The sequence below is a fragment of the Homo sapiens genome, chromosome 8 (assembly GCF_000001405.40).
Source record: "Homo sapiens chromosome 8, GRCh38.p14 Primary Assembly".
Lineage (NCBI taxonomy): Eukaryota > Metazoa > Chordata > Mammalia > Primates > Hominidae > Homo > Homo sapiens.
In genome coordinates, this window is record NC_000008.11 from 57,872,598 (window position 1) to 57,887,740 (window position 15,143).

General features: G+C 38.7%; 1 long non-coding RNA gene across 1 annotated transcript in view, besides 1 other annotated feature; it reads left to right on the forward strand.

Moving 5' to 3' along the window:
- LOC105375856 (uncharacterized) overlaps positions 1–15,143 on the forward strand; it is a 103,037-nt gene that overhangs the window by 17,120 nt on the left and 70,774 nt on the right. The gene's annotated exons all lie outside the window — the stretch shown is intronic.
- Positions 5,099–5,299: a silencer, noted in NCBI's record as "peak7034 fragment used in MPRA reporter construct". NCBI's record gives its function as "represses an SCP1 promoter by STARR-seq MPRAs in K562 erythroleukemia cells {active_cell/tissue: K562}" and the evidence as "EXISTENCE:reporter gene assay evidence [ECO:0000049][PMID:32103011]".

Consider the following 15,143-nt stretch of genomic DNA (forward strand, 5'->3'; position numbering starts at 1 on the left):
TAAAATAAGAAAATATAGATATTCTCTAAATTTGAATTGAAAAAGTAGACTATAGCACACATGAAATAAGATAATTTCTCATCATCCTTTCTACAAAGTCACTTGGTTTAGGTTCCAATCACACCAGTAGGCAACCTAACTCTTCAGTCTCTTAGCTGTGTATGCAAGTTTGAAAGATCTCTCTCAGTAGAAAGCTGATTGGCTATTTTAAAGATATTATGGTCTGCATGAGAGTAACTGGAAAGATAGGAAGCTGAAAAATGATGAAGCCATTTTGGGGAACAATGAGTCCATTAGGAAAAATTCTAATACTTCTGGTAGCAAAACTATTTTAAGTCATACTTCCTGAACAAGAAAATAAATGATTCTTTTTGAGTTATGGGGTAATAGCCTTGTGCAATAATTTATGAGGCTTATGTTGTAGGTGTTTACTATAAAATATTCAGTTTCTACATGTAAATTAAGGAAGGCTGCAGTAACAGTTTGCATAAAAGGGAAATACAGCCTTTTTGCTGCCTGTTTTTCTCACCGAAGAAAAGACATACCTCTGTGAGTACCCATGGTAGTGACAGAATGTGTCAAGAACACACATCAATCTGACCGAATATTTCACCTCCATGCTGTGCAATGCTGTGCAGTGCCATGGTCACATTTAATGCACCAGGGAGAGAACAAAGGAAGCCTATCATCTTTAATTATTAAGCACTGAAGAATAAAGGCAGAATGAGAACGTGTGGAATGTTCCCTTAACACCCTTCCAGGTTCCCAAAACAAGCTGGAGTTGATTCGCATGAACCCTACTCTTTCACAAACACAACCTTCTGCAGAAGCATTTCAGAAATTGCTCTGAAATTGTTTCCTACATTTTTTTGAGAGAGAAGCATTGTCTGAAACTATCTCAAGCATTTTATTCTATAGTACAGGAACTATTTTTATCATAAAGAGAACAATCCCTTTCTTAGAAGGGTACTGATTTAAGGATTAAGATGGGTTAGATTTGGTCGTTTGTTTGTTTTTTTTTTTCCAGAGGAGAGTCTACATGCTATTAAGAGCATGTAATCCTACTGTCTGCTGGCTCCATAACTCCCACATACTCAGTAACAAGTTCTTATAACCACCTTCCCTGCCACTGAAACAGCCTCCATTTCTTTCTTTGAGAGCTTGCTTAAATAGTTTCTACAAATGGGATCCATGGGCCCCATGGCAACAGGCAACAGGCAAGACAGACAATGGCAACTTCCTGTTGTCTCCCCATCTTCTCACCTTAATGTCCCCATCTCTGATGCATAAAGCCACTTGGAAAAACCTTGTTTTCAACACTGTACATCATGAAAATGCCACTGCCCATGCCAGAAGGGCAGTCGCTGCATATTCCTAAACCATCCATGCCTTAACACGGCAGAGTCCACAGAGCCCTGTACAAAGCTGCCGAACATCATGCTTTCCCAATCCTACAACACTGCTATTGGGTTTCACCAAGTCTCTCCCAAGTAATTTTGTTAACTCGTATCCCATATACCTTGCCCAGAATAATAATGCCATGTTTCTTATGAAAATCAGTTTCAAAGACCCATAATCATGCTATCTCAAATCCAATCTGTGGAATTTGAAGGGAAACAGTTGCCATAATATCTCCTCCGTATTCTACCACTGTCACCTAAAACCCCTCCCACCTTCACCAATTACAGAAATTCTCCTGTGTGTCCAGATTCATGTAGGTACTGGGAAGGGAGAAGAGAAGATGAGGTATGGGAGGAGAATGGGGATGATATTTATATGGATAGGAACCTGGCCTCAGCTCAGCCAAACTAAAAGCCTCAGATGTAAGGTTGAGGAATGCTGGACTTTATCTACATTCAAAGACGAAAGATTCCTTTGTTAGGATTTTCACTCGCGCCTGTGTGAAGAGACCACCAAACACGCTTTGTGTGAGCAGCAAGCCTATTTATTTCACCTGGGTGCAGGCGGGCTGAGTCCGAAAAGCGAGTCAGCGAAGGGAGATGGGGTGGGGCCGTTTTATAAGATTTGGGTAGGTAAAGGAAAATTACAGTCGAAGGGGGGTGTTCTCTGGCTGGCAGGGGTGGGGGTCACAAGGTGCTCAGTAGGGGAGCTTTTGAGCCAGGATGAGCCAGGAGAAGGAATTTCACAAGGTAATGTCATCAGTTAAGGCAGGAACAGGCCATTTTCACTTCTTTTGTGGTGGAATGTCATCAGTTAAGGCAGAAACCGGCCATCTGGATGTGTACATGCAGGTCACAGGGGATATGATGGCTTAGCTTGGGCTCAGAGGCCTGACATTGATCATACATCACACATGGCATTTGCCCTGTAGCTGAAACAATATATTAGTTTCAGCTACAGGGCAAAACTGAGAGCTGTTGACCAGAAAGTAAGAAACTTGGATTCTAGGGCTTGTTCTGCCCCTCCAGCCTGTGTCCACAGACACATATGAGGGCAAACACCCTTGTCCTGTCCACAGCCCCATCAGCACAACTTGACAACTGTCCAATGAGTATTTTTAGCTGAAATTTCTTTGTGCTTTCGCCACCATCCATAAAGTTGAAATGATAACAGCTATCTTACGTGCCTAATGAGGCTTTAAAATTAAAACATATGTGTGAACACGTCTACTGAATGTTCCCTTTCTCCATGTGAGTGAAAACCCACCTAATGAAGTCTGATAAGCACAGCATCGTGCTGCTATGACTCCTCATCTAGGAAAAGAACCAGGCCCAGCTCGCCAAATCCTCCTTTGGAAGCACTCCAACATCTCCTTCAGAGCTCCGTCACCATCTACGTATATGAGTACCTCCTCCTCAAGATAATCGGCTTTCATTCAAGCCCTAGCCTTCAAAAAGCATTTTTAAAATGTGTTTATTGTTCTTTTCATCCCACATATCTTCTACTGTGTTTCACTGTTGTTGCAACAGCCAAAAGGCCGCAAGTTCCTGATACTGCAACTACCAGATGCTGGACTCTTCCTGCGTCTGGGTTCCCAAACCACCACGGAGAGCAGGACCCCTGCTGACCCTCACAGGACATGTAGCAAGAGGAAGAAGCATGCTTTCATTGTGTTAGGGCACTGGAATTTCCAGGGTTAATCTGTGACCTCTATGTAGCCTCTCCTATCCTGAGAAAGTCAGGCTCATGATAAAAACTCATTTTAGTTAGGCTTTTTAATGGTTTCTAACAACTTGATGAGTTACGAACATGCTGAGAGACAGCAGCCACAGTAAAAAGCCCTGTATGCCAGGGGTCAGGGCCCTGTATTCCAGGGGTCAGGACCCTGACCCCAGCCCCAGCTGAACCCACTACTTGCTGTGTGACCTTGGTCAACCCATTTTATTTCATTGTGTTGTAGATTGGCTCCTTGTCTTCTTTTAACAAGTGAGAAGAGAAGACTAAATTAGCTTTTTAAAGAGCTTTCAGATCTAACATTCTATAAATGAACTTCTGGCTTCCTGTCTAGGAAGGTACCCAGTACCGATAACTTTCTTTCTGTGGCACTATGCTTTATTTTTTTAAGCTAAAAAAAAAAAAAAAAAAAATCTACTGACTGACAATTGTTTGGAACCCAATCTATTTATAAGCTTAGGGTTACACTAAGGCTAAAATCTCATTTAATGTCAGGTTATGTGTAAATCTTGTATTTATATGTAAGTTGTTCTACCTTAAGAAGCAAATTTTGTTTGTGTGTGTGCCTGTTTTTTAACCATGCAGTGAGCACTCCTGTCATTTAAGCAAACTTAGCACACAAAAATTAAATTCACTAGAATCCAAAATTTAGGAGCATCATTAGTAGGTAAAATAACAAAGTGCTGATAATCTGATTCAGAGCCCTAAGAAGATGCTCTAGAAAGAAACATAAATGAAAAATAATGAAACTAAGCTGTCTTCAAAGCAATTGAATAGAGACTGTTGGAGAATGTCCCCTGTGATAGGAAAGTAATCCTTTTCAGTCCATAGGGCCCAGTTTTGGCTCAATTCTTGTGCCATGGAGCTTACAGCAGATGAGGAAAATTGTATTACAAGAGATCATGCATGAATGTTTCTGAAAGGGGTATGGGAGAGCCAAGACTCTTTGTTTTAATATGAATTAAGTTTTCATCTCTGGTTTTGGAGTTGAACTACTGGCTCTTGCTCAGGTTTTCCCTCTAACATGTGCCTTGGCTGTAATGCTAAGCTTCAACTGCATCAATTAATGTCTCATGCTTTGCCCAATTCATTTCCTGCTTGTCGCCTCACATGTTACTTGAATCATTTTCAAATTCTCTCTTTTTAACAAACCTGTACTTATCCCATGATTGGACACCGACATAATCAAGTCATGTTTGTTCATTCTCACTGCTTAGACCTGTGTTTGGGAAAATGAATACCTTTTACTTTTGAATAGCAGATAAAAATGCAAATTTGTGCAGGCTGATTTTGTCATAAATACTGATTACCATCCCTTGGTTGAGTTACCTGAGCCATATCTTAAACACACACACACACACGAAATAGAATAACTCGTAGGTTAGAATTAAAATGAATGATAATTAAAATATCATCTTCTTAGAGTTTATACTATGTATAAATATATATACTTTCTAAAACTCATCTATAGTTTATAAAAATATGTGTAAAACAAGAAAAATAAATGTAATTAGAAAGACATTTTGCAAATCATTGATGAGCTTTCCTTTTCACCTTTCTCTCTTCATGCCCTTTTACATTGGTCAGCCTAAAGCCTCCATATGTCTAGGAGATTAGTGTTTATTACAGAAGGCGTTAATGAGAAAGAATGAGGAATATTCAGCACCTGACGTTCACAGGATTTTACAGGACAAGAGGCTTGAGGGCCAGGCATTGCCGAGAGGGAAAGTGTTTCCCAATCCCTTTCTCTCCTCCTTTGGCATATTTACCACAGAGCTGGGAGACCCATGCTCTTTCTTTTCTGTAGTTCAGGGAAGATATTCTTTCCACCTGAGAGGTAGAAGCCCTAAACTTGCTGCTCTAAGGTAAAAGGAAGATATGATTTAGGGGAAATAAAAGAAAAGCCTGCTCCTTTCTGGTCCCAAGAAATGGTTGGAAGAAGAAACAAAAACAGGGAGAGGCACGAGCCTCTCAAATGCATCTGACCAACTTCCCTTTGGGCCCCAGGACCAGCTGAGGTGAGAAGTCAGGGAGAGTAAGCCAGAGACACAGGATTCCTCCCGCCAGCTTCCATCGCACTTGGGATTCTGAGAGGATTCCATCTTGAAGGCAGTCTTCAATGGGTGTGCAGCTTCTTCCGGCACAGGGAGGACTTGAGGTTTTACTCTCCCAAACTGTCATTGATTTTATAATGAGATAGACAGAAAATTGTGGCAATATATTATCTGACTGCAGAACTTGGGGGGTTGAGCTCAGCAGGGGTGTAGGAAGATAATGTGACTCAGTAGCAAGGACAGCAAGAGGGCTGCCTGGTCTGTGGCCAAATGTAAATCACCACTGATTCAGTTCCCACCCTATGCCTGGACTCTGCCATTCTCCAAGACACCTTAGTTCTTTCAGCACAAATGTGCATCCTAGGGGTGCTCATTGTGTCTGAGTTGGTTATGTCTTCTTTTTTATTTCTTTTAATGGAAAAACTAGAAAATGTATATTTTAAGATAAAATACGTCATGAATTTATACTAAATTTTTAAATTCAAAATCAGCTCTATAAGATGCTTATTTAATCTCATCCACTTTACATCTTCTTATACTCTGAAAATCTCATTTCTTAATGTCAAAAAAGCTAATTAATTCCTTTGCTCCATCGTACACTATAAAGACACAGTTTCAGAATAATAAACCAGTACTGGCCGGGTGCAGTGGCTCACGCCTGTAATCCCAGCACTTTTGGGAGGCCGAGGCGGGCGGATCATGAGGTCAACAGATCAAGACCAGCCTGGCCAACATGGAGAAACCCCATCTCTACTAAAAATGTGAAAATTAGCTGGGCATGGTGGCACGCGCCTATAGTCGCAGCTACTCGGGAGGCTGAGGCAGGAAAATCACTTGAACCCGGGAGACAGAGGTTCAGTGAGCCGAGATCACGCCACTGCACTCCAGCCTGGCAACAGAGTGAGTCCCCGGCTCAAAAATAAATAAATAAACCAGCACTATCATCAAACATTTATGATTTTCTGAGGGAAGCAATTCTTTTGGTCCTTAGGGTGTATCCCCATGGAAATGGACAGTAGAATTACAGGGTTGTTAAAGATACTTTGAATAGTTACTCTCCGTGTGGTTATTGTACAGAGTTAAGTTCATCTATTGCATTTTACTTCTGGTTTTTAAGGGTGACATTTTAAAATTTAATTCTCTTTTTTAGTTATGCGAAAGGTTTACATTGTTATAGAATCAGATGTACAAAATAGGGCATTTGCAGAGAAATCTGGATTCCATGCCCTTCTCCTCCACTCTATTTCCTCCCTCACACTTGGGATAACCTGAAAATTTCCATTTATGACTTACTCCTGCACTTTCAATATAAGAATATCTGTGTGTATATTTATTTATTTCCCTCTTTTTTATATAAATTTTAATCTTTTGTACACAAATTTCCCCATTTTGCGTTTTTTTACATAAAAAGTATATTTTAGAGATTGATTCAAAATTGTATACAGAGATATTACTCATTCCATTAATATATGCACAAATAAACTAATTTGCCTTAGTTTATTCAATTAGGCCCCATTAGGTCAAAAGGTAAATGCTTTATAATTAGCAAATTATTGCTAAGATATTGCAAGATATTGCCAAATTCTCCTTCATGAGTATTGTATAATTTTGCAATCTACCAGAAAAGAATGAGGTTACCTGTTTCCAGACGATCTACCAACAGAATATTTTAATCTTTTGGAGTTGTGCAATCTAATAAGTAAGAAAATATATCCTCTAGCAGTTTTAATTGCATTTTCCCTGTTATAAGCAATGCTTTTCATATGGCTGAGAGCCATTTATATCTTGTTTTCCCTGAACTGCATGTTCGTACCTTTAGCCTATATTTTTTCATCATGGTTGTTGGCCTTTTCCCCTCTATTTCTAGAAGCTGTTACATTTTAGAGGTATTCATATTTTGTGAATATACTGCAAATATTTTTCAAGTGTATCACTTATCTTTTTCCTTTGCTTATGTTTCTATTGTTTTGTTTTAACTAAAGGATAATCGCCACACAATAGTGATTTTTAATGTAATCAAATTTATCAATCTTTTCTTTTACTGCTTCTGAATTTTGCAATTTATCCAGAGTTCAGTATGAGAAATAGACTTGTTTTTTCAATAGCATAGCCTTTCAGCAATCCCAGTACCACATTGTGAAATTCCATCTATCACCCCCTTGTTTGACATGCTGCCTTTGTTGTGCTGCTACATGTCATTATGCACTTCAATCTGTGACAAGGGTTCTATTTTGTTCCATTGCTCAGTCTGTATGAACCAGTACCAAACTTTAATAACAGAGGCTTCATATTATCTCTTAATATTTAGTAGGGAAAAGCCCAACTCCTTGCTTTCCTACAGGATTTTCCAGCTATTCATGCTTATTTCTTTACAAATTAAAGCCAGCAAAAAGCCTGAATGCATTTTATACAATTTATGTTAGATATATAAATCATTTTAGGAATAACTGATATATTCATGATGTTGAACCTTTCTACTCATAAACTCCTCCTTCCATTTATTCAATTCTAATTTTGTGTCTTTCAGATGTGTTTTATAATTTTCCACATACAGAATTTTGAAATTACTCATTAAGTTAATGCCATGGTACATTTTCTGTTTGGCTGTCTTAAAGTTTTCTATTCCATTATATTTTCTAGCTGATTTGTGTCTGACTATATGAATATATGAGGCTTTTTGTAACCTGCTACTTTACAAAATTTTCTTACTAAATTACCTTATGATGTAAAGTCACTATTCATTTTACTCTTTGAGGTTTTCCAAATATATAATCACATCATCTGCAAGTAGAGACAGTTCTACCTTTTCCTTTCCAATTATTATGCTGTTACTTGCTCTATTTTTATCTAATTGCACTGAGTAATTCTTCTAACATAATTTAAAATAAAAGAAGGAATAGTAAGGATCCTTATCATTCTCCTGAGTTTAACAAGAAAGCCTCTAGCATTTCTCGATTAAGTAGGATGAAGACTTTGAAGAGGAAATACACACATATCCCATACCCACACACACCATGCATATTATAAGTTAAGGAAGTATTCATTAATTTCTACTCCATTTAGTCTTTTTCATATGAATGGGTGTTGAGTTCTGCCAAGTGCGTTTTCTGTATCTATGAAGAAATCCATATTATTTATCTCCTGAACTCTAATAATATAATGGATCACACAAATGAATTGCCCACTATTGATCTACCCATGCATTTCTGGAATAAACCTCTCTTGGTCACAGTTTCTTAATTTTCCACATACTGTTGGATCACATTTGCTGATGTCTTATTTAAGATTTTATGTCAATGCTAGTAAGCGAAGTTGGTGTGTGATTTCTTTTATGTTGCCATCTTATGCTAGGCAGCACAATTATACTCACTTTACAGAAAGAATTTAGAAATTTCCCATGTATTTTAATACTCTAGTTTGAATAGAATTGAGCTTATCTTGTTTTAACAGTTTAATACATATACTCTACAAAGTCATAATGGTGAATCTGGGGGCAAGGGGCTCTTTAACTAACTTCTTTGTTTGTTCTAGTATAATTACAGTTAACTCTGGAGCAACAGGGCTTGAACTTCACGGGTCTCCTTACATGCAGATTTTCTTCCACCTCTGTCACCCGTGAGACAGTAAGACCAACCCCTCCTCTTCTTCCTCCTTCTCAGCCTGCTCAACATGAAGATGACAAGGAAAGAGATCTTTATGATAATTCACTTCCACTTAATGAATAGTACATATATTTTCTCTTCCTTATAATTTTCTTGATAACATTTTCTTTTCTCTGGCTTACTTGATTGTAAGAACGTGATATATTATACATACAACATACAATTTATGTGTTAATTGACTGTTTATGTTACCAGTAAGACTTCCAGTCAATAGTAGTTAAGTCTTGGAAGAGTCAAAAGTTATACACAAGTTTTAGACTTCACAGAAAGGTTGGTGCTCCTAACCTCTGTGTTGTTCAAGGTTCAACTATAGTTTGTTTACACCAGGGGTCCCCGATCTCCGGGCCTTGGAGGCGTACCTGTCTGCGACCTGTTAGGAACCAGGCCACACAGCAGGAGGTGAGTGGCAACCAAGCTTTACCACCTGAGCTCCACCCTCTGTCAGATCAGCTGCAGCATTAGATTCTCATAGGAGCACAAACCCTACTGTGAACTACGCATGTGAGGGATCTAGGTTGTGCGCTCCTTATGATAACCTTATGCCTGATGATCTGAGGTAGAACAGTTTCATCGCCAAACTATTCCAACCCCCTTACTCCCAGTCTGTGGAAAAATTGTCTTCCATGAAATTGGTCCCTGGTGCCGAAAAGGGTAGGGACTGCTGGTTTAGACTATCTGGCTCTACCAAATCAATTTTGGTAAGTTGTATTTTTCTTTAAAAATGATTACCAATTTTGGGCGCCTGTAATCCCAGCTACTTGGGAGGCCGAGGCAGGCAGATGAATGCCATGAACCCGGGAGGTGGAGGTTGCACTGAGCCGAGATCGCGCCACTGCACTCCAGCCTGGGTGATAGAGCAAGACTCCGTCTCAAAAACAAAAACAAAAAATCACTTCCACTTACTTTGTCAGGAAATTTGTTTTGGGAAATGAAGTTTTGTAAGTGTGACACCAGCTGAGGCCTGGAAAGCACCTGTGGGCTGAGGCTTGCTCTCTTGGTGCAGCTGAAACATTGTAACTACCATGCAAGTGAGCCTGAGCTCCCTGCCTGAGGATGTAAGGTCACATTGGAAAAAACCAAGATACTCAGCCCATCAGCCTGCCAGCCATCAGGCAAGAGAGTGAAGCCACCTTAGATCATCCAGACTCCAGCTGACTACAGAGTCCAACAAAGATCATTTAAGTCAACCCAAACCAGAAAGGACACAAAGTCAAATCTCAGGGAAAAAACTATTACTTTAAGCTGCTAATTTTAGGCTGGCTTGTTACACGGTATCAGCTAAATGATACAGAATTCAACATCAAACTGAATTACAAAATTCTACTCCACTATTTAAATAAAGAAGTCACTTGAACAAGACTGCCCCATACAGTCAGGCAAACCCTTTTTGATTAGCTTCTGCAGCCAAATCCAGCCTCGCAAACCCTCCTCTTTATCCCCTTAAACTACCCTCCATCCGCCACCCTCATGAGTAAACAAAACTCTGCCTGAAACCAAACCTCCTTTCCTTTTTTTTTTTTTTTTTTTGAGATAGAGTCTTGCTTTGTCGCCCAGGCTGGAGTGCAGTGGAGTGCTTTCAGCTCACTGCAATCTCCGCCTCCCAGGTTCACGCCATTCTCCTGCTTCAGCCTCCCGAGTAGCTGGGACTACAGGCGCCCGCCACCACACCTGGCTAATTTTTTGTATTTTTAGTAGAGATGGGGTTTCACGGTGTTGGTCTCAATCTCCTGACCTCGTGATCTGCCCGCTTCGGCCTCCCAAAGTGCTGGGATTACAGGCGTAACCAAACCTCCTTTCTTAATGGCCCGTTTGGGCCACTGTCATGAGTTTTCCCAATGTTCAAACACACTCAGTCCTTGGAAGTCATTATGGACTAAACTGGTTCCCTCCAAAATTCATATGTTGAAGTCCTATACTTCAGCAGCTCAGAATGTGACTATATTTTGAGATTTGATCTAATTGAGGTAAAATGAGATCATTAGAGTAGGCCCTAAGCCAATATGATTTCTAAGAAGAGGAGATTAGGACACAGACAGATACACATACAGAAGGAAGACCATGTGAAGACACAGGGAGAAGATGGCCATCTACAAGCCAAAAACAGAGACCTCAGAAGGAGTCAACCCTGTTGATGTCTTGATTTCTGACTTCCAGCCTCAAAATTTTAAGAAAATAAATTTCTGTTGTTTAAGCCACCCAATCTGTGGCACTTTGTTATGACAACCTTAGCCAACTAATATATAATTACAGGACAAAAAAACACCTGTTGAGGTTAGGGGCAACCTAGAGTTGGGTTTCACTCCCACAGGGATATTTATGCATGTGTTTCCTTTGTCCACACATGTAAATAAAAAGCATTTCCTGAGGAAAAGCCAATCTACATAAAAATCATTTTCAATATGTAAATAATCACTAGCATATGCTTTTTTGGAAACTGATATCAAAGAAATACTAGTAGTAATAAGAAATAGTAACAACAATTGTAAAACTATTTTAAAATATTAATAAATGATAAAAGAACAATAAAGCTGGTTACCAAGCACTTTCTATTAGTCAAACACTGCACTATTAACTTTGCAAACATTGTTTTGTTTGTAATCCTCACTATCCAAAGAAATGACTCTAATTAGCCCTGTTTTGCAGTTGGGGAAATTGATGCTCACAGAATGAGTCACTTATCTGGGGTATCTCAGAAAGCAGCAAAAGCAGGCTTTAACTTAGGGCCTAACTTCAATGTGCATTATCTTTCCATTACAGCCCTTTAAAAAAATTATTCTTCATCAGTCAATTTTTATCAAGAAGAATAAATGCAAACATGATTTCATTTAACACAACTGATAAAGTTGGGAATAATTTTAAAGCTCGCACTGAGAGGACGGTAAACCTATAATCAGCATAGGATAAATCATCTTCATCTTTCACAAAAATAACTATAATCAAAGCTGTTCTCATACCTCATGGATGTTGACCTGCTTTTTAATGGCTTGTATTTCAAACTTGAGTTCAGGCACACATAGAAGAGGAAATGGAAAATGAGTACATCTGCATTAGCCAGAGTTCTCAGATTACCTAGTGTTAATTTTTTTTGTTTTGTTTTGTTTTGTTTTTGAGACAGTGTCTCGCTCTGTCCCCCAGGCTGGAGTGCAATGGCACAATCACATTTCACTGTGGCCTCCACCTCCTGGGCCCAAGTGATCCTCCCACCTCAGCCTCCCAAGTAGCTGAGACCACAGGTGCATGCCACCACACCTAGCTATTCTTTTTTTTTCCTTTGGTACAGGCAGGGTCTTCTTATGTTGCCCAGGCTGGTCTTGAACTCCTGGCCTTAAGCGATCCTATCATCTCAGCCTCCCAAAGTACTGGAATTACAGGCGTGAGCCACCGTGCCTGACCAACAATTTTATACTCCAAGAATATAATCTGTTTTTACTTTAAAAAGTATATGAAAAAAAGTTTTAACTTAAAAAATATTACCTAGCTTTTGGTGGATGTAAGAACTTCAAATATCTACAGAACTTAATGAACAAAGTGTTAACAAATATAATCTAGCTGTAAGAACATTGAAATATTGAAATATAATTTAAATACACCATTTATATTGTCATGCTCTGGGGAGATTGTGTTTTCTTCTTTTGAACTATTTCCATGTTTTCTTCATTTAATGTAAGAGGATTTATTCAATTTAATAGGCTAAATCGTCAGAAATTAATTTTATCAAGCCATGTCTTGCCTTTTCCATTTATATTTTATCCAAATTCTTCTAATGTAAGAGACTTATGTCTCATTTTGCTGTTGTTAGAAATTATGACTGAATTTCTTGGAAGAAATCTTTATTAAAGTAGCTCTCCACTTACTTTTTGCCATGTATGGTAGAGCATTCATCTCTAGGGAAAGTAGCATAAGGAAAGGCCACCAAAACTTATTGGATGTGCTTCAGAAGACCAACAGAGTTAAACATTTCGGGGAACAATATTGATACATTTTAACTCTATTCATAAAGATTTCATCTTTAAACAAGAATGAGTTAATATTTCATAGATGACTTCTGGTCTGAATAAAATCCTCCCCTCCTCCCACTTGGAGATCACTGTTGCCTGACATTGTAACACCGTATTTTGGTTTATTTGTTTTCCAGATAAATGTTATGACCTTAGAATCTGAAATCAAGAGGTGATTAAATCATAGTCATATTTAACAAATTATGGAGACAGATATAAAGTTGAGCAAACAATTATGTTTTCTTCCAAAGGAAACTTAGTAATAAGGAATTCCTGGTGAATGGAATAATGCCATCAGTATTTTTCCAGTAGGGTCATATTTACACGGCATACTTCTGGTAAGTTCTATTCCCCATAGTAGAGAAGAGGAAAATAAAGCACAGTTTCCTGCCCAAATCTTCTGATTCATAAGTGGAGAAGTGCACTAGTCATCCGCTGTGACAAAATGAATTACCCTAAAATGTAGCTTAATACAACAAAATTGTATTACTTCACAATTTCTGGGAGCTAGAAATTTCAGAGTGTTGTAGCTGAGTGGATCTGACTGGGAGTCTCTCATGAGGTTGCAGTCAGGATGTCAGGCAGAGGTACAGTTGTCCAAGACTCGATTGGGGTGGGAAGACCCACTTCTAAGATGGTGCAGTCACAGGCTATTGGCAGGGATCCTCAGTTTATGTCTGAGGCTGTTGGCAGAAGACCCAACCCTGGCCACAGGGTCTCTCCAAAGCACTGACTGTGTGTCCTCACAAGGTGGCAGCTAGCTTCCCCCGGAGTAAGTGATCCAAGAGAGTGAGCAAAGAGAAAGCTCCAGCATGTACCCCTCTGGCCTAGTCTCAGAAGGGGCACAACTTCATTTCTGCCGTATTCTATTCATTAAAAGCCAGTCTCCAAGTACAGATTGCACTCAAGAAGCAGAGATTTGGGATACACTTTTTGAAGGGAAGGGTAGTAAAGAATATATAAACATCTTTAAAACCACTTCCCAAAAGTTCTGCCTTAAGAACCTACTGTTGCTTTTTGGGTGGCATATATAGTTTCAGTAAAGTGCACAAATCTTAAGTAGCCAGCTGAATGAACACATACATACCTCTGTAAGCATGCACGTGTATATATACATATGTGTGCATGTATACATAAGTACATATGTGTGTTGTGTCTATACATATATATGTATATATGCATGTGGGCATACACGTGTGTATACATGGATAGCACATATGTATGTATGTACACACATACCTTTCTACCTTTGATGGACATTTGGATCATTTCCATCTGGGCCTGTCAAAAATAATACACAAATACTCTTTTTCTTGTTATTTTGTGGACAAATGTACTCGTTTCTATTTGATATTTAACTCAGATTAGAATTGCTGTGTCACAGGATACGTTTATGTTACACTTTAGTAGAAAATGAGTTTTTCCAAATAGCTGTGCCACTTTACACTCCCACTAGCAACGAATGGAAATTCCAATAGTTCATCATCCTTGTTAATGCTTGATGTTGACCATTTCTAAGATTCTTATTTTTCTGGTGGGTGGGCATGTTTTTAATTTTCATTTCCCTGATTACAACTGATGTTGAGTACCTATCTTTTCATATGCACAGAAGTCATTGGGATATGTTCTCTTATAAAGTCTCTGTTCATGTCATTTGGCCACTTTTTCATTGGAAAACCTACCTTATATTCACTTATAAGCATTCTTTCTGTATGTGAAATGTGAATATGAAGTACAGGTATTGCAAATGTTTTACCCAATTTTCTTACCTATTTACTCTTCCTACAGTGTCTTTTGATGAACATAAATTCTTAGCTTTAATGAGTCCTATTTTTCAGTTTTTAGTCAATATGCTTATAACCTGTATGATTGGACAGGTTAAAAAAATAAAGTTTAGGACAAAGAGAACAGCAATGCTCTTTGCCTCCTAGATAAGTCATCCAAAACATAAATTCACACTCAGTTCTTTAAAGATAGGAGTTTAAGGGAGAGAGGGCCAATTATTTTTCAGCTCAAACATAAATGTCCAAGGAAAGATAAAGTGAACTCAGGGATAAATCTACATATAACTGAGAAAATCCAGGTAGATATGGTTTTAGAGATGTTGGCTGGCTTCTGTCAGAGGTGGGGTGGTGGATGCTACAGGCAGTGCCTGGCTGGTAGCTTCACTAGATTGAGATGTAGAAAAATAGGGACTAAAGTCCTAGCAATGTCTGGTAGAGAAAAAAATAATCCGAAATATCTGTTTAACACAAAAATAAAAATAAGCACCAAATCAAAATAATGTGCCCTTC